This window comes from Homo sapiens, chromosome 6 (assembly GCF_000001405.40).
Source record: "Homo sapiens chromosome 6, GRCh38.p14 Primary Assembly".
In the NCBI taxonomy this organism is placed as follows: Eukaryota; Metazoa; Chordata; class Mammalia; order Primates; family Hominidae; genus Homo; species Homo sapiens.
Window position 1 is genome coordinate 31,681,989 of NC_000006.12, and position 22,446 is coordinate 31,704,434.

The following is a 22,446-nucleotide window of genomic DNA, read 5'->3' on the forward strand; positions in this document are numbered from 1 at the left end:
GGGAGGCCAAGGCGGGTGGACTACCTGAGGTCAGGAGTTCGCACCCAGCCTGGCTAACATGGTGAAACCCCGTTTCTACTACAAATACCAAAAATTAGCCGGGCGTGGCGGCTCATGCCTGTAATCCCAGCACTTTGGGAGGCCAAGGTGGGGGATCATTCGAGGTCAGGAGTTCGCAACCAGCCTGAGCAACATGGTGAAACCCCGTCTCTATCAAAAAATACAAAAACATTAGCCAGGTGTGGTGGCGCACGCCTGTAGTCCTGGCTACTCGGGAGGCTGAGGCAGGAGAATCTCTTGAACCTGGGAGGCAGAGGTTGCAGTGAGCCGAGATCGCACCACTGCACTCCAGCCTGGGCGACAGAGTGAGACTCTGTCTTAAAGAAATAATAACACAAAATAAATTGTATTAGAGAAAAGCCAGAGTAGTGGAGAACTGCAGAGGAACGCGGGGCACCTACATAAATGTCTTGAATGAATGAGTGCACAGAGTGATAGACAAAAAGAATCAGAGGGCCGGGCTCCGTGGCTCACGCCTGTAATCCCAGCACTTTGGGAGGCCGAGCTGGGCGGATCACAAGGTTAAGAGATCGAGACCATCCTGGACAATATGGTGAAACCCCGTCTCTACTAAACATACAAAAATTAGCCAGGAGTGGTGGCGCCTGCCTGTAGTCCCAGCTACTCAGGAGGCTGAGGCAGGAGAATCGCTTGAACCCGGGAGACGGAGGTTGCAGTGAGCCGAGATCGCGCCACTGCACTCCAGCTTGGCGACAGAGCAAGACTCCGTCTCAAAAAAAAAAAAAAAAAAAAAAAAAAGAGAGCCAGGGGCTCCTCTTGAAGCGAAGAGGGCAAAGGGCAAAGGGGAAGCACAGGGGAACTTCGCGGCGCCCTCTGAAGCTCCCTCTCGAATATAATCGCAACGAAAAGGCCAACGACTAGAGGCTTTGCGAGGCTGAGGCTGGGCTTCGGGAGGGGATTGCCCTGAGAGGTCCGGGAGGACTTGCTGTGGAATTCAAGCGACCGTGGGCCTTGAGGGAACCGGGGGGCAAGACACCCACCCAGCATTCGCGGAATATTTCCTCGAATTATTTCGGGGAGGGGTGAGGCCGGGGCAGGGTGGGGCCTTCTTCGGAGGGGGCGCGGCCTCCGAGTAATTAATCCCGTCTTTGTTGCGTTTTGCTCCTCTCCTGTCCACCCAGCAGGGCCAGCCCAGGGCGCGCTAAGAGTCCAGAGAGTTCGTTTCCATGGTGACGGGTTCCGCGAAGGTTTTCCTGGGGTGAAGAGGCAGGGCGTTGAATAATCGCCATGGCGACAGCAGCAGATGACGGTGTCCCTTCTGAGTGCTCCTACCTAGAGTTAAGGGATACCTGAGGGTAAGCAACCGAGTGACGAAACAAAGAAGGCGGGGCCTGAGGACAGAACGCCAAGGTTAGGGGAATGGAGCCAGGCAAACGAGGGGCGGGGCTGTAGATGACCCGGTCGGGAGAGGGCCACGGTTTGTTGGGGGAGCGGCTCGAGATTGCGTTCTAGAGAGGAACCAGAGAGAGGGTCTTTAACCTAAATATAAATGAATGACTGGATTCCTGAAGAATCCGGAATGGCTTGTTGATTGGATAGATGGATGGATGGATGGACGGACGGACGGACCGATGGATGGAAATCTGGCTATCACTGACGCCTGAGCTCCCCACCCTCTTGGGCCCTCCACCTCCGGAGCCCTCACTCGCTTGTGACAGCTGTACGAGAAATACATGCCTCTCCTAGGAGCAAACCCTCAACCCAAACAGGCAGCACAGAGCCAGTCCAGCACCTCACACTGGAGGCACTCAGGGTGGAGCCCAGGTCGATGAGACGGCGTAGGATGAGGCTTTTTGGCCCAGCTGGGAACCACTTCTTTCCAGATTTCCCGTCCAGAGTCTAACTTTCCTTTCTCCCAGCGCCATCTTTTCTGCTAGTTTGCCCAGCTCCTCAGGGTGCCTGGACTTTCAGGCCTCACCTTGTGTCCAGTATAGCAGGGTCCAGCGCCCCAGCAACTGGGAAGGTCTGCATCTCTGCTGATCATCCCCTGGAACTGCTGGAACTTTGCTATATAGGGTGAGGAGTGGACAGGGGCCTGCTTCCACCCCTGGGTGGGGATTAGTTCTGAAAACAAACACAGCTGCTCTGAACCTTATTGCATAGGGAGTAATCTGAAGTAGGCTGAGGCCCCTGGATGGGGGGGTTCAGAATTCACATGTTGAGCCTACCTTTCTTTCCCTACCCAATTTCAGGTATCTAAGGGCCCCTCAGGTCATCCACTGTTGTCTACAATTACATGCAGTAAGATGGGGGAAAGTGGCAGTAGGGGCAGTTCAGCAGAGTCCCTAATGGCCATGTCCAGGGAGGGGTGTCCTTTGTCCCCAGGGTATGGGAGGTGAGACTGGGCACCCCTATTTGCTTTTTTTTTTTTTTTTTGAGACAGAGTCTCACTCTGTCACCCAAGCTGGAGTCCGGTGGCACGATCACAGCTCACTGCAGCCTCAACCTACCGTGATCCTCAGCCAAGCGATCCTCTTACCTCAGCCTCCAGAGTAGCTTGGAACACGGGTGCATGCCACCATGCCTGGGTAATTTTTAAATTTTTTGTACTGATGGAGTCTCCCTATGTTGCCCTGTCCAGTCTTGAACTTCTAGGCTCAAGTGATCCTCCTGCCCCAGCCTCCCAAAGTGCTGGGATTACAGATGTGAGCCACCATGCCCAGCTCCTCTTTGCATTTAAGGAGCTTCCCTTAGCTGAACAAAAATTTAGTTTTCAGGGGATTAACTCTTCTGTTGGATCTGGGAGGATGGGATTCAGAACTGTGCAGCTGGCTCCAGAGCTTCATGTTCCACACTTCCCATCGTTTGCCCCCCTGGAATGGGATAGAGGAGAGGGCACCAGTATCAGCTATCCACCTGTTTGCTAACGGTGGAGCATTATGGAGCTGTGGTCACCTGCCTCTTCTAACTCCAAATTTCAGGCATCACATCACCTGATTAAGTCTCAGATCTCCACTTCCAGTGGAGACTCAGTATATCTTCCCTTAAGGAGTTGCAGCGCTAATGGGGGCACACACAGCCTCTGCCCTGGGGTTTCAAGAAGAGCTTCATGCACTGGGTTTGGAGAAGACACAGAAATTTAGCCAGAGACTCCATCTAGGACATTAGAACATTGTCGCCCACGTTAAGTATCTTGCTCAAAAGAATGGAGTTGGCCGGGCGCGGTGGCTCACGCCTGTAATCCCAGCACTTTGGGAGGCAGAGGCGGGTGGATCACGAGGTCAGGAGATCGAGACCATCCTGGCTAACACAGTGAAACCCCGTCTCTACTAAGAATACAAAAAATTAGCCAGGCGTGGTGGCAGGCGCCTGTAGTCCCAGGTACTAGGGAGGCTGAGGCAGGAGAATGGCGTGAACCCAGGAGGCGGAGCTTGCAGTGAGCCGAGATTGTGCCACTGCACTCCAGCCTGGGTGACAGAGCGAGACTCCGTCTCAAAAAAAAAAAAAAAAAAAGAATGGAGTCGGCTGAGGTGGGTGGATTGCCTGAGCTCAGGAGTTTGAGACCAGCCTGGGCAACATGGTGAAACCTGTCTCTACTAAAATACGAAAAATCAGCTGTGTGTAGTGGCACACACCTGTAATCCCAGCTACTTGGGAGGCTGAGACAGGAGAATCGCTTGAACTTGGGAGGCAGAGGTTGCAATGAGCTGAGATCGTGCCACTGCACTCCAGCCTAGGCGACAGAGTGAGAATCCATCTCAAAAAACAAACAAAAAACCATCCCCAACAAAATAAAACAAAACAAAAATGGACTCAGGGCGATAAACTTTGGGGTCTTTCATCTGGAAAAGAGAAGTTTCCAAATGAAGAAAGTGGCCAGCGGCCAGGCGCAGTGGCTCACACCTTTAATCCCCAACACTTTGGGAAGCCAAGGCGGTTGGATCACCTGAGGTCAGGAGTTCGAGACCAACTTGGCCAACATGGCGAAACCTCATCTTCACTAAAAATACAAAAATCAACTGGGTATGGTGGCGCATACCTGTAATCCCAGCTACTAGAGGGGCTGAGGCTGGAGGATCACTTGAACCTGGGAGGTGGAGGTTGCAGCAAGCTCAGATTGTGCCACTGCACTCCAGCCTGGGCAACATAGTAAGACTCCATCTCCAAAAAAATAAAAAAAACTGCCAGGCAACAAACCAATGGGTGGAAGAGGGATTTATTCACTGTGTTCCACAAGGTCCAAAGTTAGAGATAGATGGCAGTTATAGGGAACCAATTTCCTCAGGTACAACCTAAGCATCTTCTCCTAACAGAGCCGTCCAAAAGGCAAAGTATGGCTCTGAGAAGACATGAGTCCTTGGCACCTGGCCCTCCGTCCCTGGCAGGGCCTGTGTTTGTTGAACTGCAAAAAGGCTGTGAGGACAGAGACTTGATGACATGGCAAGGTGGGTGTGCAGGGTTTGCTGCATAAGACGTGGGGAGCAGGCCCTTCCTCACTCTTCACCAAGATAACAAGAGGTGAGCAATGAAAATTGGGGGTACTGCTAGTAACACCATGCAGGTTGAACCTGGAAACCAGCAGAAGCACTGGGTAGGTGAAATCGGATCCTAGAAAGCTCATGAGCCGTAAGCAGGAGGGGGCAACCATGGGCTCCTGGGGTGGTTGTATGCAGGAAGAACTGAAGAAGGAGGCGGGAGGGGCCAGGGAGGCTGCACAGTTGTGATAACAGTAGGCACATCAGGGACCGGGGAGGTTTGGGGACCTGCTGCCTGAGGAAAGCTCAGGTTAGGGGCTGAAGGCCTAGGGGGACACAGAGATGGGAAGGGTTAGATTAGCTAGATTGTCTAGAGTTAGGGTTTCCCAAAGCCCAGCTCTTTGGGGCCTCTGCTCTCCCCACTACCTGCCCCTGGCTCCCTGGACACTTGAGAAGTTATACAATTAGCCTGATAGTAGAAAAAATACCTTTTTATTAATTATTAGGAATAATCCATTCATGTAATGCAGGATGTATGTTGGAGAAGGTTAAGTACAGCCACATGAATGAGGGGAAACGTGCAAGAGGAACAGTGGTGAGAAGGGGGATGGTCCCCCACTTTCCACAAACTATAAACAGCAACATGAACACAGAGAATCACAAATAAGAGGGTCTTTCCTCATGTCTCCTCTCACCCCATTCTTCCATAATGAGTCCCAGTTGGTCCCTAGAGGTGCCAGGGCATCTGGAAGTTCTGGGCTGGGAGTGGGGTGCAGTGAGTGGCCTCAAAGTTGTGCAGATGCTTCCGAGCCTGAGGAAAGGAGGTGGGACAGGTGGGGTACAGAGCACTGTTGGGAGGGGCAGCCACTGGACTCCCTCCCCACCCTCCACTTCCGCATCCACCACCCACTCTACAAAAGCTGCCACTTCCAATGCTTATAGGGTATCCCCAGTCCCCCTATGTGAGCCCTGGCCATTCAAGAACCCTTCCCACTTCCCACTCCTTAGCTCACCAGAAACAAAGCCAGCTGCCGCCGTCCATCTGCACTCATGTCCTCCCCTGCAGAGAGGAGGCGCTCAAAATAGGCCACACATCTGGGTATTCATCCCCTTCCTAGGCCCTTCCCACCCTCTCTCCTGCCCCAGGAGCTCCTTACCCACGCTCCAGGGGAAGTCGGGCCCGTGTTCTGCCTGGTAGGAGCGGAGGACAGACAGACACCAGTCCTCTTCCACCTCCCATCGGCTATAAATTGAGGCTGGTCAGGGAGAGAGATGACAGCCAGTCAGCAACCTGACCTTGCTGGGCCCCCGCCCCAAGCCTCACTGGATCCCTTCTCACCTTCCTCCAGCTGTGAGGAGGCCTCCAACCACTGCCTCACCACTCGAAGACCCTCCTCTGCCATCACCCGGGGATACCTACGGAGGAAGTGCCAGGACAGGTCAGGGCTGATTTTTTTTCATTCACCATCCCTGAACCTTCCTCCCTCCTTCCCTGTGCTGGTATCAGTATCTGTGTGTGTACACTGCCCCCAGCGCGCACACACCCTGGCTCTCACCGATGCTGCAGGAGCTTCAGCAGGAGGTCATTGCCTCGGTTGGACATGATGTCCTCAGGAACCCTGGGGGTGAGAAGAATGTACCCTGGAGGGGCTGGAGGTTAGGAGGAAGGGTCTAGATACCCAGGTTTCTGGTGGGCAGAGGTAGAAGGGACAAGTTCCTGGCCATCTCTGGGGTTCCTGAGGGCCGAGATTCCCACGCACTCACGTGGTGGTGATGATCTCATCCTTGGTTCTCCGGATCAGCAGTACAGGACCCTGGTATCTTCAGAGAACAGAGCAGTGGGAAGGGAGAGCTCAGAGGGAGACGGGTGACAACTGGCCCACCCCTATCCCTGCACTGGTAGCATTCTTACCCTCCCCTTGCTATAGCACAGCCCTTGACCTAGCCCTTCACTCAGGGGTGAGAGGGGATTATTTAAGGGGCATGGTTCAGTCTGGCCCTGCTGGGAGACCCCTGCCGTGCCAGGCCTTAACCCTTTGGTTGCCAGATCCTGAGGTGGTCCAGAGTCCCAGGGGACCTGGGAGGGGTTAGGCCAGTTGAGGTGGTGGCAGGGTCACTCAGGATGTGAGCCAGTGGCCTTTTACCAACTTGCACTTTAGTACTAGTTTCAGGGTTTGAGCGCCCAGCAGAGCTGTATGGGGGGCAGGTGTTCAATGCCGGACGCTGGCCGGCCCTCACCTGCACAGCTGCTCCGCGTTGTTTAGATTGAGATGCTGCCTCACGGTCCTGGTCACCAGGCCCCCTAGAGTGGGATAAAGGTGAAGGGATGGCAGAGACAAAGCCCTTGCCCAACATAAAGGTCCTCACTATTCACGGAGAAAGAAAACTGAGGCCCCCAGACAAAGGAGTCCTCCTGCTTCCAACAATGGGGCGACTTACTCCCCACCCAAGAAAAGGGAGCCATCTCAGAACAGTTCCCAGTTCCAGCCCACCCCTTCCCAGGAAGGGCAGGCCTGGGAGCTGCACTCACTCCAGCTGTCTGGCATGACCTTCAAGGCCAAGGGCACCAGGTCATCAAAGGAGGCATCCAGGATCATGGCACTAACATCTGGGTAGGACATGGCTGCCCACGTGGCTGGTACCAGGGCAGGGAAGAAGAGTAAGAACTGAGAAAGGCTCCTTTCTCCCCACCACCCATGCTCTCATCCCACTGACCCTATAGGCCAACCCCATTCCCCCTATGTTATCCCTTGTTTTTTTCTTAACCTACTTCACTTGGTTAGGGAACTATCTGGAGAGGATGGGGATAGAACACTGGAGATAGTGCACTGAAGATAATGGGCAGGAAACATTCACTTTCCCTGATCTCCCCACCCAGGACCTGGGTCTGCTTTTCCTTTTAATGACTGGGCACAAGAGGGGAAGGAAAGGTGAAGTGTATGCAAATAGGATAGCTTCTTCCAGGCCCACTCAGAGATTCTACTTCCTCTCTCTTCTTCCTTGAGCCTCCACCCCACCCCATTTCCCCACCTCTCCCGGGTGGGGCTGGGTGGTCATGAATGTGTCTACAGTGGGGGATGGGAGGGAGGCTGGTACCAGTGAAGCCGCCGATGGACCAGGCGTAGATGATGATGTCCTGGGGCTGGAAGCCTAGGCGGTGGATGGCAAACTGGACCACCACATCCATGGCATTAGCCTCATTCTGCGGGAATGGCACCCCCTGCAGGAGAAAGGGCAAAGTCAGGAGTGTGTCAGCACCAAAGGCCAGCTCACCTGTCCCTCCCAACGTGGACCCCTCCTGCAGCCACCTATGACAGGCAGAGAAGGTGTAGAAGGAAGGGATGGTAGGAGAGGTTGTTCTCTCCAGAAGACGGATGTGTACAATGAGATCTACCTCCTCCTCTCCTGCTAGCCCCGCACTGTGGGGATGGGGGCATGGCTCCCAATGCTGCCTTCACAACCTCCTAGACCCCAGCCCTCAGGTGAGTGGGACGCCTTCAAGAAATCCACAGCCCCTCTCCTCCCTCCAATGGCTGACCAGAGGGAAACAGACATAATTCAGGAAAAGGAAGGGATTCCTGAGATGGTCTCACCGTGCTTCCAGCAAAGCCTGGATGATTCCAGCCCAGGACTGAATATCCAGCTGTAACACAGGGGGAGGAGGGACTGAGACCTTGTGGCCCACAGCCCTTTCTCCATCCCTGGGGGAAGGAAGAGCAGAAGTACCCCCCAGCTTAGATGCAAATAACTCCAAGCCTTCCCAGAAATAGGAGATGACACCAGAGGTTCTGAGGCAGCACAGGGAGCAGCATGTGATTGTGTGGGGTGTGTGGTGGGGGAATGGAACAGAATGAAAAGCATAATAGCTAGGGACACAGGCCAGGGGAGGGATGTAAGGTTATCAAAGCAAATGGCGAGTGGACTTTTCCCTAAAGCTGAGAGACTCAAAACCTCACCCAGAGAAAGCAGAGGCCAGGGGAGGTCAGGTCAGTGTGGGAGGCAGGGACATTCCCTTTCAAAGGGCGGAGATAAGGAGGCTGAGTCACCGTCCTACCTTCCAGGGGCGTGGAGACGCAGCCCACCTCATAAAACCCAGCATTCCCCTCACAGCAGATCACCTAGGAAGGAGGCAGGAAGGAAGGGCTGGGGGGCCAAGTTGGGACTGAAAAACTCCCTTTGGGCAGGGAGGGCAGCCCATGAAGAGCTTTGCAGGGAAGAGGAAAGGGCAGGTTTCTGTTTTCTCCAAGGGGAATGGAAGCTTCTCATTCCACAGGGTCCATAAGAGGAGAAGCAAAGGGATTACAAATACTCCTCAGAGGCTGACCTGCTCGACCACCCAGCCATGTCTTTTCCTTGGAAGATTACCAGCTGGATCTCTTTCAGGAAGGGGACTATGGAGATGTTTTTCCTTTCTCGTTTTCGGGTCTGTTATCTTCTGTGACCATTGCTATTGTGTGGTATGCTGATTGCTCTCCCTATCCCTCTCTGAGCTCCAGTCTTATGGTCAGATAAACTGTAATGCCATGGCGCCCCAAGCTGAAACCCACGAATGGTGGGATTTGCATGAACTCTCATAACAGATGGGCAGAGCCAGGACTAGAACCCAGCTCCCTAGACTCCTGGCTTAGCGCTCTTTCCACGGCTGCTTCATGGAGGTAGGAGACTTTGAGGCCAGGCTGCCTGGGTCCAAATACCAGCTCTACCACTTACTGTGAGGTCCAGGAAAGGTTTTCTGTGCCCCAGTTTCATCTCCTGTAAAATGGGCTAATATAAGCAGTACCTATCTCACGGGATTCTTTTGAGAATTAAATATATATGCTTCATATATATATGAGAATTAAATATATATAAGTGTGAAGTGCTGTCAAAGTGGTAACTATTAATATTAGTTTCTCGTCCTTGAACGTCTCTCCTACTTCATCTGTTTCTCTATCACAGGGTTTCACTACATCACAAGGTCTTTAGCGTGGAGCTAGGACATGAGATTATCCCCAGTAGTGGTTCCTTCAGGGAGGTGCTATAGCATTGGGGTCCCCAGACCTCTACTGCCTTCCTCACACTCACCCCACCTCTGGGCTCTCTGCTCCCTCTTACCAGCTTCTGTCCCTGGGGCTCAGCTGTCCCCCGCCGGTCCACAAACATGGTGTCAATCTCATTGCCATCACAGGCCAGCAGCTTTGCCCGGCGCCCATTACACTGAGTACGGAAGACGCAATGGCCAAGATGCAAGGGTCAGGAGGCCACATCACAGGGGTGGGGCGGGGTGGGTGGGGGTGAGAGGGGAGGGCTTTAGGGGATGTGCGGGCAGGGAAGCCTCACCTCTTCCACCAGTCGGGCCTGGCCCTGCAGCAGCACAGGCATGAGGGCCTTCTGCAGCAGGTACACAGAGCCTGGATACAGCATCCGGCGCCCTAGGGTGTGCGCCACCAGGTAGCTGTGGGGAACACAGGTTAACAAACCCCAACCCTGTTGAGGCCTGGGGACTGTGCTGGGGACCATCCCAGCCCTAGCACTCACAGACTGTAAGGCCTGCTTTACCCCTGACCTTCACAGCTTTACTTTCCTCTTTCAAGCCTTAATGAAATATGTACCAGGCTAGTGTTTTGCAAACTTTTCTTACTGCAACCTTTGTAAGATAAACATTTTATATTGTGGCTCAGTGCACACATATCCTGTATGTACAGAATTCTGAGAGTTTTATGATGTAACTGTCTATACATAATAAGTAAATGCAAAGTTATCATCAGATTATGATTCTGTTAAAATATAAGTACAACATATTAAAGGTCCCCAAATAAATAATGCTTTAAAAAATGATGGTTATAATTCAAAACCTCAAATATGGCTTGCCTCCCTGACTAATTAGCACACTGTCAACAACCAACCACTAAGTCCACCCTGTTCCTTGGTATTCTAGAAGCTGCCTCCTAACTCCCAGCAAAAGAAAATTCCCAGTGTCTGTTCCACTATAAGATATAGGTGGTTATTTCCGTTCCTTCTGACATCATCAGTACCCACGACTGAGCTTTATTTGGGATTTACCATGTGCTCTCAAGCACCCAGGCAAGGCAGGAGCCCTTCAGAACATGTTACCTTACTTAATCTCCTCAGCAACCTTGCAGGGCAGGTTCATCACAGGTGCAGACACTGAGGCACACAGGGGCCCGGAGCCAAGGTGGAATAACAACAGGGCAGAGGGGCCACGATGGGTACACAGATGCTACCAGAGCCTGCCCTAGCTACAAGTGTGTGTCCTCCCCACCCCCACCCCACCCCCACTGCTCCTTTTCAGCCTCACTGAAGGAGCTTTTGTTCATATCCCAGTTCTTTACTTACTACATTTGAGACTCCAGACCTCTCTGAGCCTCTTTTCTTCAAACATAAATATGGATAAAAATGACTTTGCCATAAATGATCTACACAAACCATACAGCACTAGGCCCAATGAGTGACAGCTATTTTACAATGGAGCGCCCACTCCCAGAGCACTCCTGAAATGGCCCCTCCACCCCAGTGGGCCTCTCCTCGCTGCTGTTTCCCACCTGGTGATCTGACAAGGCAGCTTCTTAACCCGGTTGAGGAGGGTGTCTGCTGTCCCCCGGTGCAGGGGCTCTGGGCGAAGCAGGGCCACACCCCGGCGGGAAGGGCCCCCTCGAGACTCCTTCCTGAGGAAGGGAAAGATGCAGGGAAGGATAGGGTCAGGAGCAGCAAGCTGGATGTCTGAGGTCTGGAGAACAGTGGGGTCTAGGAACGACATAATGGCATTGGAAGGCAGGCACTGTGACCTGAGAGGGCATGGAGGTGGGAGGGCAGAGCAGAGATTTTCTGGAATGGTTCTAAGGGGAGAGATACAGCAAAAGAACTGGGGCCTCACCGGCTGCTGGGTTCTTCCCAGTGGAAGTCGACTGGCCAGCTCCGGAAGTCAAAGTTGTAGTTGGCAAGCTGCCTCTGCAGTGGGCACGAGAGGCAAAGGGGTACTGAGAACTCAGGGGAGGCTCTCCTACCCACCCTCAACAACACCTTCGTTATCCAGGGGTCTGATCCCCACACATCATGGGGAAACCAAGCGGAGGTCAATACCCTCCCAATTCTCAGATGGAAAATTCTAACAGGACCAGAAAATCAGGGGAGATGGTATGCCCCATCAGGTATCAGGACTGGCCTGTCTGCCCTCTTCCAAGCTAAGAACCTAACACTCTGCTTTTCTAAAAAACTAAGTCTGACCCATCCCCAGGAGGAGTGGCTGAAGGTGCTAGTGCTTTTGAGTGACGGGTAGTAGGGGTCGCTGGCTGGTCACGGTCTATTCCCCACCTGGGTCCCTTATAGGGTGCTGTCTTAGAAGCTTAGAAATCTCCCAGCAGATCACACTGACAGACCCAAGGTTGAGTGAGACAGAGAGGAGGGAAGTCACGCCCACAGTGGGCTCCTCTGCCATGTGGGGCCACCCGTTGAAGGAAGCTCTGACTTCCATCCTCACAACTACATCCCTTCCTCAACTCCTGCAGCCATGGATCAGTGTTGCCCTACAGCCCATCCGAACCTCGGGCCACCCCACTGAGCCAGTCCACATGCCTTTTTTTTTTTTTTTGAGGCAGGGTCTCGTGCTGTTGCCCAGGCTGGAATGCAGTTGGTGCAATCATAGCTCACTGCAGCCTCAAACTCCCAGGCCCAAGTGATCCTCCTACCTTAGCCTCTGGAGTAGCTGGGACTACAGACATGTGCTACCATGCCCAGCTAATTTTTAAAATTTTCTTTAGAGACAAGGTCTTACTATGTTGCCCAGGCTGGTCTCCAACTCCTGGGCTGAAGCGATCCTCCTGCCTTGGCTTCCGAAAGTGCTGGGATTATAGGCATGAACCACCTCACCAGCTCCACGTTTTTTGACGGCAGTGGGAGCTGTGTCTTTTTTTTTTTTTTTTTTTTTGAGATGGAGTCTCACTCTGTCGCCCAGGCTGGAGTGCAGTGGCACGATCTCGGATCACTGCAAGCTCTGCCTCCCGGCTTCACGCCATTCTCCCGCCTCAGCCTCCAAGTAGCTGGGACTACAGGTGCCTGCCACCACCATGCCCGGCTAATTTTTGTACCTTTAGCAGAGATGGGGTTTCACCATGTTAGCCAGGATGGTCTTGATCTCCTGACCTCGTGATCCACCCGCCTCGGCCTTCCAAAGTGCTGGGATTACAGGTGTGAGCCACCGCGCCCGGCCTAGCTGTGTCTTAATACTTGACTATATTCGTCCCCCACCCCCTGAGCTCCTAGCACTCTATTTTGAGGGTTTTTATTTTCTGCACAGAAATTTTTTGACATTTCAAAAATAATTTGACTAACAGAGAGCAATAGAAAAATTATACAAAAAGGTAAATGGCAAAACAAAACAAGATGACTAAAAGCAAATTTCAGGCAGGCTTTGCTCAGACCTGCTCTCAAATCTGGACTTAGCCACTTTCTTGCTCTATGACTCCGAATGGGTCACTTAACCTCTTTTTGCCTCTGTTTTCTCACATTTACAAATAAAGGTAATAATGCCACCTCACTCAGCTGTTGTGAGGATCAGAAAGGGTGTGTGCCAAATGCTTCAGCCAGTAGCATAGTACAGGGCATCATTACGCAGCTCCATAGTGTGGAGTAGCCAGGAATGTGATGATGGTGGTCATAGCTGTTTGATCCTAGAAACCTCCCATAACAGAAAAGAGCTCTATGGGGCCCCAAAGCCCATCCTCAAAGATAATCACAGTCCAGCACCAGCCGGCTTGGCATAATTCCCAAGACACTGAGCCCTAGCTTTTCTCCCTCCTGGCACCATGCTGTACTCCCAGGCATAGGAGTGGACACACCTGTCCACCTTGTCCCATCCACAAACAAGGATAGCATGGTATTCAATGCATACAACAAAATTAAACATTTATAGAACTGAGCTGCTGTGATACAGAGAAAACTACCTTCTAAGAAACATTGTGGGCTGGGTGCAGTGGCTCACACCTGTAATCCCAGCACTTTGGGAGGCCAAGGCAGGTGGATCACCTGAGGTCAGGAGTTTGAGACCAGCCTGACCAACACAGCTAAACCCCATCTCTACTAAAAATACAATATTAGCTGGGCGTGGTGGCGCATGCCTGTAATCCCAGCTACTTGGGAGGCTGAGGCAGGAGAATCGCTTGAACCCAGGAGGCGGAGGTTGCAGTGAGCTGGAATCATGCCATTGCACGCCAGCCTGGGCAACAAGAGCGAAACTCCATCTCAAAAGAAAAAAAAAGAAACACTGTGGGCCAGGCACAGTGGCTCACACCTATAATCCCAGCACTTTGGAAGGCCAAGGCAGGCAGATCGTCTGCAGTCAGGAGTTCAAGACTAGCCTGGCCAACATGATGAAACCCTGTCTCTGCTAAAAATACAAAAATTGGCCAGGCACGGTGGCTCACGCCTGTAATCCCAGCACTTTGGGAGGCCGAGGCAGGCGGATCACAAGGTCAGGAGATCAAGACCATCCTGGCTAACATGGTGAAACCCCGTCTCTACTAAAAATAAAAAAATTAGCCGGGCGTGGTGGCAGGCGCCTGTAGTCCCAGCTACTCAGGGGGCTGAGGCAGGACAATGGCATGAACCCGGGAGGCCGAGCTTGCAGTAAGCTGAGATGGCGCCACTGCACTCCAGCCTGGGCGACAGAGTGAGACTCCGTCTCAAAAAAAAAAAAAAAAAATTAACTGGGCGTGGTGGTGTGCACCTGTAATTCCAGCTACTCAGGAGGCTGAGGCATGAGCATTGTTTGAACCCGGGAGTTGGAGGTTGTAGTAAACTGAGATTGTACCACTATACTCCAGCCTGAGTAAGAGTGAGACTCTGTCTCAAAGAAGAAAAAAAAAAAAAGAGGCCAGGAGTGGTGGCTCACGCCTGTAATCCCAGCACTTTGGGAGGCTGGGGCAGGCAGATCGCCTGAGGTCATGAGTTGGAGACCAGCCTAGCCAACATGGTGAAACCCCGTCTCTACAAAAAATACAAAAATTAGAGGGTGTGGGTGGTGCGTGCCTGTAATCCTAGCTACTCAGGAAGCTGAGACAGGAGAATCACTTGAACCTGGGAGGTGGAGAGTGCAGTGAGCCGAGATCGTGCCATTGCACTCCAGCCTGGGCAACAAGAGCGAAACTCCATCTCAAAAAAAAAAAAAGAAAAAGAAAAAAGAAACATTGTGGAATGTTTCTAGTTTAGCCAGTTCTTACAGGTGAGGGAGGGGGAAGATTGTTCTAGCAGAATATTCCATTAGAAGTGGTAGGGAGGAAAAATTCCTCAGGTGGACAGTTCACTAATGGAGGTGAGAAGGGATACAGCAATGTGCAAGCAAACACCCAGTGTGGTGGGTGGTAAAACACACCTCCTCTTCCTGCAGAAGCCAGTGTCTGGTGCTCTGAGGGACAACTGAGAAAGCTGCTATTGGGTGCCTGTGTGGCACTTTTCCTAGGGCCTCTCACCTTGTTTTCTGAAGACTGGTTCCGATGTGTTGCTTCCAAGATGGTGATGAACTGCCGGTACTGGGGGTTGGTCCAGCGGCCAATGCCTGGTAGAAAAAGGACAGGAAACAGTGCTAGGAAAACTGGGAAGCAGAAAGCCTAGGTTTTAGGAAAAGAATTGGAGATGGGCTAGAAGAAGGCCCTGTAAGAAAAAGTGAAAGAAAAAGGAACTGAGGGCATAGGATGCGGAGAAATAGATGTGAGCCAACCCCCTTCCTCCAAATCCAGCAACTGGCTACAGGACGCTTCTTCTCCCTAGCTTCTGCAGTTTGTGTCTTTATAGACAATCCTTAACCTACCATCTTCCAGAATGTTCCTCTTCCTCAGTCTTTAAACACTGTCATATAACCTATTAAATGACACTATTAAACACTATCATATAATACTATTCTCCCTTGCGAATATCAAATTTCTCTATTTTTCACTGCCATTCTTCTCCAATGTTTGCTTTCTGCCTCTTTTCTGTATATTCTAGCCCCTTGCCATCTGGCTTCAGAGTCTCCGACTCCTGCCCATAATTACTTCCTCACTGAATTCCTGACTCTTCTATCCTCATTCTCTTCAACTGTACTACTCAGCATTCTCCCTGTCCCTCAAGATTCTTCCTGCCTCTGCTTCCTGGGCCCATCCTTGACTCCTTCCAGTTCCTGAACAGTTCCTCTCCTGCCTCCTTTCTGCTTTCCTTTCTGAAGCAGAAGCAACTCTCAGTGCTGACTCTCTCTCCTCTCTCTTTTCACTTACACAGTCAGTGATTGCATCCACTCTCCTTTCACTGCTGAGCCACCTCAAACCCTAACTTCTCTCCTCACTGACTTGGCAGGTGTCGTGTGTCAGACAGGCACCGTACTACACACGGGAGACTCAGCAGGAAATGAGATACACAGCTCCTGGCTCTCAGAGAGCTGGCATTCTGGTTGGGGTTAGGTACAGCCAGGAGAAGACAATAAACAACATTTCAGAGAGGGATAAGTGCTACAGAGAAAATACAACAAGAATGAACCAGAACTTTATGTGTCATCAATGGTATTCCCCCAAAACGATATGATGAGAGAATGATGTGTGCTGCAGAATGATTTGTACAACATTTATGCCAAAAATGTAAAATGTGCAAAATAATACATACTGCTTATAGATACCATATTTCATAGATTCTAAAATGTATATTTTTTAACCCTTGAAAACTCTGAAATTAGAATTCATTTTACAATTGATGGCAGCTTAGACTTGAGGAACTGAGGTATATGTTTCATAAAAGTATGTGCCAGAAAAAAAAAAAACCCACACCAAATGACAATTATTACTTCTGAGGAAAGAGGAAGATGGGACTGAAAGGATTCCAATGGGAACTCCAACCCTAACTGTGGTGCTTTAGTATTTTGTTGACAGAAAGCATTTAAAGCAAATATCACAAAACTATATATAAAAAAAAAATCACAAAACTATACATCAAAAAATTTAAAAAGGCTTTTATATTTTGTTCTCTGGACTTTTCTGTATTTTTTCTTTTTTCTTTTTTTTGAGACAGTTTTGCTCTTGTTGCCCAGGCGGGAGTGCAATGATGTGCTCTCGGCTCACTGCAACCTCCGCCTCCCGGGTTCAAGTGATTCTCCTGCCACAGCCTCCCAAATAGCTGGGATTACAAGCGCCCGCCACCATGCACAGCTAATTTTTTCTGTATTTTTTCTAAATTAAAAATAAATAAAATAAAAAACTAAGACAAAACTGAGCAGTGGGAGCTACTTTTAGACAGGGTGGTCAGGGAAGGCCTCTCTGAGGAGAGAGCCCAGCCCTGCAGAGATCAGGGGGCAGAACACCTCAGGCAGAAGGTCCTGGACCCAACTGCGACCATCCAGCCCTGACCCCACCACCCCCATGTTGAAGCATCGCCCATCACCTGGTTGTCATCTTATGTACCCACTAGGGGTAGGTGATCTGTCCTCTTTATTTTTTTAAATTGCGAGATACAACATATGTACATAAAACATATATTCAGTTTAAAAAATACAAAGCAAACATTCATGTGACTATCACCTAGGTCAACAAAGAGAACACAGCCACCTCTCAGCAGGGCTCTCCCCCACTCTGTTCTCCCCCACCCCAGGTAATCACTCTCCTAACTTTTGAGAAAACCATGCCCTTGCTGGGCGCGGTGGCTCAAGCCTGTAATCTCAGCACTTTGGGAGGCCGAGGCGGGTGGATCACGAGGTCAGGAGATTGAGACCATCCTGGCTAACACGGTGAAACCCCATCTCTACTAAAAAATACAAAAAAACCTAGCCGGGTGTGGTGGTGGGCGCCTGTAGTCCCAGCTACTCGGGAGGCTGAAGCAGGAGAATGGCGTGAACCCGGGAGGCGGAGCTTGCAGTGAGCCGAGATCGCGCCACTGCACTCCAGCCTGGGGGACAGAGCGAGACTCCGTCTCAAAAAAAAAAAAAAAAAAAAAGAAAACCATGCCCTTGTTGTCTTCGGTGTTCTACCTCAAACATGCACATCCCTTTTGAATTTTATATAAATGAAAACATACTGCATACATTATTTTGTGGTTAGCTTCTTCTATTTAACACAACATTTGAGAAATTCATCTGCATTGCTTTTGTTTATCTGGAGACAGAGTCTCGCTCTGTCACCCAGACTGGAGTGCAGTGGTGCTATCTTGGCTCACTGCAACCTCTGCCTCCCAGGTTCAAGCAGTTCTCATGCCTTAGCCTCCCAAGCAGTTAAGACTATAGGCATGTGCCACCATGCCCAGTTAATTTTTTGTATTTTATTTTTTCTGAGATGGAGCCTTGCTCTGTTGCCCAGGATGCAGTACAGTAGCGCAATCTTGGCTCACTGCAACCTCTGCCTCTTGGATTCAAGCAATTCTACTGCCTCAGCCTCCCGAATAGCTGGGATTACAGGTGCTCACCACCATACCTGGCTAATTTTTTTTTGTATGTTTAGTAGAGACGGGGTTTCACCATGTTGGACAGACTGGTCTTGAACTCCTGACCTCTGGTGATCTGCCTGCTTCAGCCTACCAAACTGCTAGGATTACAGGCATGAGCCACTGCACCTGGCTTCATCTGCGTTGTTGAGCGTAGCTACAGTTTGTTCATTTGCATTGCTATATAGTGTTCTCTTGCATGGCTATTGCATGGAACTTTTTTTTTTTTTTGAGACGGAGTCTTGCTCTGTTGCCCAGGATGGAGTGCAGTAGCGCAATCTCGTCTCACTGCAACCTTTGCCTCCCAGGTTCAAGCTATTCTCCTGCCTCAGCCTCCTAAGTAGCTGGGATTACAGGCACGTGCCACCATGCCCAGCTAATTTTTGTATTTTTGGTAGAGACGGGGTTTTACCATGTTGGTCAGGCTGGTCTCAAATTCCTGACCTCGTGATCCACTGGCCTCTGCCTCCCAAAGTGCTGGGATTACAGGCATGAGCCACCACACCCGGCCACACAGAACATATTTTATCCATCCTACTATTTGTAGCCACTGGAGTTGTTTCCAGCTTAGGATTATTACAAACAATGTTGTATGCTGTATTCTTGTACATCTATATTGTTTATACATGTGCAGGAGTTTTCCTAGTATGTATACATATATAGAATTGTTGTAGGGTATATGCATCTTTTCTAGATAAAAGCAGCCAGGCATAGTGGCTCACATCTATAATCCCAGTACTTCGGGAGGCTGAGGTGGGAGGATCACTTTGAGTTCAGGAGTTTGAGACCAGCCTGGACAACATGGTGAGACCCTATCTCTTAAAAAAAAAAAAGCAAACCTTTTTGTTACTTTTCAGTTATTTTTTCATATTTATAACCCAAGTCTTTTAAGGAAAAGATCATGCCTTAAACCATTCTCAATGATTCCCTCTCGGAGGCCCATCACTAAAATGTATTTGCACAAGGTACTTAATTTTTAACCAGTGACAGTGACAGATAAGATTCAAACCAGGTTTCCTCTCCACCTACCTCGGAGGCAGGCCACACCTGCCAGAAGTAGCAGCAATGTCCCAGCATAGTGAGAAAACGGCACCACTTTGGACAAACTCAAGTAACCTGGGAAGGGAGAGGGACAATGTGAGACCCTCTCCGCAATGTCCCTCAGCTCCTCTTCCCAGTTCAGCCCCAACCTCCACCCCACACTCCCTGTTTGGAACAGCCATACCCTAAGAGGAAGAAGATGCCTGATGGAAGAGGGAAGCCAAGCCATCTTCACAGGTCCCCTCTCCTCTTTAGGGAGCTGGCTCATCTGCCAACAACCTGCCCATTTGCTACCCCACCACCTTTGAAACCACACTGACCTTTCCTGTACAAGTAGAAGAAGGCGAAGGGAGAGGAGTAATAAGAGATGGACCAGAATACTGAAGCCTGCAGCAGAGAGACAGGGACAGGCAATCAATACACACACACACACACACCTGCCATTCCAGGCATATACTATACACTCTGAGCAAGATGGACAACCTGAGGGATATCATATCATATTTGGTGTATGACACCATGAATACAGTAGGTGCTCAGTATTTGTTGAAAAGTAGTGTGTCAATGTAATGGAGGCTGGGAAAATTTGGTACAGGCTCTATTTTCTTCCTCTGGAATTATGGAAGAATTATGTCTTCCATCTCCAGACATAATTCCATCACATTTAAAGGCAGTCTCTCTGTCTACTCAAGTTAATCAAGCCTTTTCAATTGGCCCTGCTCAGGACAGCCCCTGGCCTGGTCCCCAAGAGATGCGCAAACGTCACCACAGGAACTGTGCCAGAAAGAACAGCTGTCCCTGCAGCCAAAGAGGTTAGTTGCCAGGGAGGACAGGTCACTGGGGAACTGCAGGACTTAGCACCTGCAGATGGTCCCAAGAGTAAACATGTTTTCCTTACGGCTCAGGTTGCCCCCAGAGAAAGCAGTGCTACATACCAAAGGGGAGTGCCAAGTATGCACATTTAGAGTGTGCCTGTGTGTCTGTGTTGGAGAGGTCTGCTGCAGAGCCCAGGGCATCCCCCAACCCCAGGGCACTGTTGCTCCCAAGTTAGGGAGGGCTAAGTTCAAGAGGACAGGTGGGTCTGAAAGATGCAGAGTCCCAGATGCCAGGGTAGACATACCAGTGCCAGGATGCTGTCAGCATGTTTCTCCAGGGCACGGGGCTGATAGTACGTATCCTGCCAAAACAGATGGCCTCCTTAAGGACCCTGCCCACTGGCAGGTCCTTTCCCTTCCCTTTCAGAAGCCCTGCTGTGTGTCCTCTGGTTCTAGTCTCGTTGACTATCTCTCTTGAAACATCCCTGGCCCCCACAGAAACTCCTCTTCCTCACCCTCACTCTGAACCTAATTTCCCACCCCTGACCATGGGAACAAACACAGGGAGCTGGATTTGGAAGCAAAAGTGAAAGCAGCATTGGACGATTTTTGCTCCTTTTCCACAGCCTAGTTTCAAATGGATTGCAGGCGCGTGCATGTGGGGAGAAGGGTTAGTTTGAGAAGAAAGAAAAGACACCTAGACAATCTAAGAAGGAAAGAAAAGCATCAGAAATAAGAGTAGTTGACTAAGAAGAGAATGTGGGTAGGAGCGGGCAGTTTGTAGGAGACAGTAACACAATGAGACAACTGATAAAAAGGAAGAGAATATTTAGAACAGCCTACCACCACCCGCCAGCTCTCCAGAATACAATGACTCGGGTCTCCAGGCTAGGTTGGGCGGGGGTTGAGGGGAGGACCGACGGATACAGGATCTGTAAAAGTCATTCTGAAATTCAAGGCGAGGGTAAAGGGAAGATAAAAACAGAGCCGGGGGAGGCATGAAGAGGCACTGAAGAAGAGGAAACTGGGAGTCTGACAGCAAAATTCAACGGCTCCCCAGTCCGCGCAGGGTCTCTTCCCGGGACTCAAGACTCAACTGGGACCGGCACGAACCACGACACACAGGGTCGGGGGGACGCGGAGAGGAAAGAACAAAGAGTGGCAGTCGGAATGAGAAAGCGGTAAAGAGCGAAAAAGAAAGGAGGCGGCCAGTCCGTAGGCGTGACTTTAACTCAGGAAGCACACAGAGCGCAGATTTTGCGGATAACTGGCTTGACAAGCAGGCTCCCCTTATTTCCCATTATGGGCACTTCTGGGGAGCAAAAGGCCGTAAAGGGTTTGGACTGTACCACGTTCTTCGGTGGGGAGGAACTCGACTCACCCAGGAGCTGGAATGGGGGGCAGTGACTGCCGTTGGCGTCTCAGGGACGCTGGCCGGGGCCCTTTCAGAGTCCCTCTCCCGGTAGATTTTGTAGAGCCGGGGGCCTAGGACGCAGCTCAGCAGCTTCGCCATGGCCCCGGCTCGGGCCGCTGCTCTTCCAGCAGCAGGTCCCCCTGCCGGCCCCGCCCTCCCTGCCTCTGAGGTGTTGTGTGCCCTTGACGTCAGCCCGTACCGGCTCCGCCTCCGGGCGAGTTGCGACATTTTCAGTGCTTCCTGAGAAGAGTTTCGCGCAGTTGGAGCTACGGGTACAGCAGTGGTCCGAAACTAGTGGAAGACCACTAGAACGCGGAGAATCAGAAAATTACCGGGCATGGTTCAATAATTTTTTTCTGTCTCATTATTGGCAGACTCTAGAGCGACAGCGGAAACGAGGGGTGAGATTAGGAGTACTTGATAAGAGTAACCGAAAACATAAGGTGTCTAGGAATGTATCTAGTACAAGAAATGCAAGGTTTTATGAAGAAAACTATAAAAAGTTATTGAAAAGGCAAACTGGCCCGGCCCGGCGCAGTGGCTCACGCCTGTAGTCCTAGCACTTTGGGAGGCCGAGGCGGGGGGATCACTTGAGGCCAGGAGTTCGAGACCAGCCTGGCCAACATGGTGAAACCCCATCTCTACTAAAAATACAAAAATTAGCCTGGCATGGGTGGTGCGCGCCTGTAATCCCAGCTACTCGGGAGGCCGAGACGCGAGAATCGCTTGAACGCGGGAGGCAGAGGTTGCAGTGAGCCGAGATCTTCCCACTGCACTTCAGCCTTGGTGACAGAGCAAGACTCTGTCTCTAAATAAATAAATAAAGGTAAACTGGCCCAGCGCGGTGGCTCACGCCTGTAATTCCAACACTTTGGGTGGCCGAGGGATGATTGCTTGCGTCCAGGAGTTCCAGGCCATGGCTCATGCCTGTAATTCCAACACTTGGGGTGGCTGAGAGAGGATTGCTTGCGCCCTGGAGTTCCAAGCCAGCCCAGGCAACATAGTGAGACCCCATCTCTACACAAAATACCAAGGGGGAAAAAAAAAAGACCTAGCAGGGTGTGGTGGTGCCCACCTGTAGTCCCAGCTACTTGGGAGGCCAAGGTGGGAGGGTCGCTTGAGCCCGGGAGTTTGAGATCGCTCCATGCACTCCAGCCTGGGTGACAGAGCCAGACCCTGCCTCAAAATAATAACAATAATAATTGAAAAAATAAAAAAAGAAAGAGGTAAACGAAAAGCTTTTCAATAAATG

General features: G+C 50.9%; 1 protein-coding gene, 2 long non-coding RNA genes and 1 other non-coding gene across 7 annotated transcripts; 2 read left to right on the forward strand and 2 right to left on the reverse strand.

Moving 5' to 3' along the window:
* Positions 1-863: 863 nt before the first annotated feature.
* Positions 864-4,862, forward strand: LOC105375019 (uncharacterized). The gene is made up of 3 exons (XR_007059543.1): positions 864-991; positions 1,206-1,376; positions 4,335-4,862. It is a non-coding gene; the product is annotated as an uncharacterized LOC105375019 (long non-coding RNA).
* Positions 4,863-4,966: 104 nt separating this feature from the next.
* On the reverse strand, positions 4,967-21,336 carry ABHD16A (abhydrolase domain containing 16A, phospholipase). 4 transcript variants are annotated; one of them, NR_033488.2, is made up of 20 exons: positions 20,624-20,970; positions 20,086-20,142; positions 19,286-19,352; positions 18,954-19,040; positions 14,960-15,045; positions 11,371-11,444; positions 11,039-11,161; positions 9,816-9,930; positions 9,591-9,692; positions 8,551-8,614; positions 8,090-8,139; positions 7,593-7,716; positions 7,027-7,131; positions 6,735-6,798; positions 6,261-6,317; positions 6,053-6,115; positions 5,836-5,912; positions 5,654-5,752; positions 5,510-5,556; positions 4,967-5,307 (listed from the first exon to the last, which is right to left on the reverse strand). NR_033488.2 is itself a non-coding variant. In NM_021160.3 (20 exons), exons 1-20 carry the CDS (start codon positions 21,291-21,293, stop codon positions 5,224-5,226), a joined length of 1,677 nt encoding a protein of 558 aa, NP_066983.1. In that variant the 5' UTR covers positions 21,294-21,336; the 3' UTR covers positions 4,967-5,223. The 4 variants fall into 4 exon arrangements, 2 of the variants coding, with proteins under 2 accessions (NP_066983.1, NP_001170986.1); NM_021160.3 differs by lacking the exon at positions 20,624-20,970 and adding an exon at positions 21,162-21,336; NR_033489.2 differs by lacking the exons at positions 19,286-19,352; positions 20,086-20,142; positions 20,624-20,970 and adding an exon at positions 21,162-21,336.
* On the forward strand, positions 7,661-9,328 carry LOC105375018 (uncharacterized). Its single transcript, XR_926696.2, has 2 exons — positions 7,661-7,978; positions 8,770-9,328. It is a non-coding gene; the product is annotated as an uncharacterized LOC105375018 (long non-coding RNA).
* MIR4646 (microRNA 4646) lies at positions 19,041-19,103 on the reverse strand. Its single transcript, NR_039789.1, has one exon. It is a non-coding gene; the product is annotated as a microRNA 4646 (primary transcript).
* Positions 21,337-22,446: the final 1,110 nt, after the last annotated feature.

Coding starts and splice junctions, on each gene's coding strand:
- ABHD16A (NM_021160.3), bottom strand. CDS start 21,293: ATGGCGAAGCTGCTGAGCTGCGTCCTAGGCCCCCGGCTCTACAAAATC. Junction 11,162..11,370: donor TGGGAAGAACCCAGCAGCCG/GTGAGGCCCCAG, acceptor TCCCTTCCTCAG/GAAGGAGTCTCGAGGGGGCC. Junction 5,308..5,509: donor GGCAGCTGGCTTTGTTTCTG/GTGAGCTAAGGA, acceptor TCCTTTCCTCAG/GCTCGGAAGCATCTGCACAA.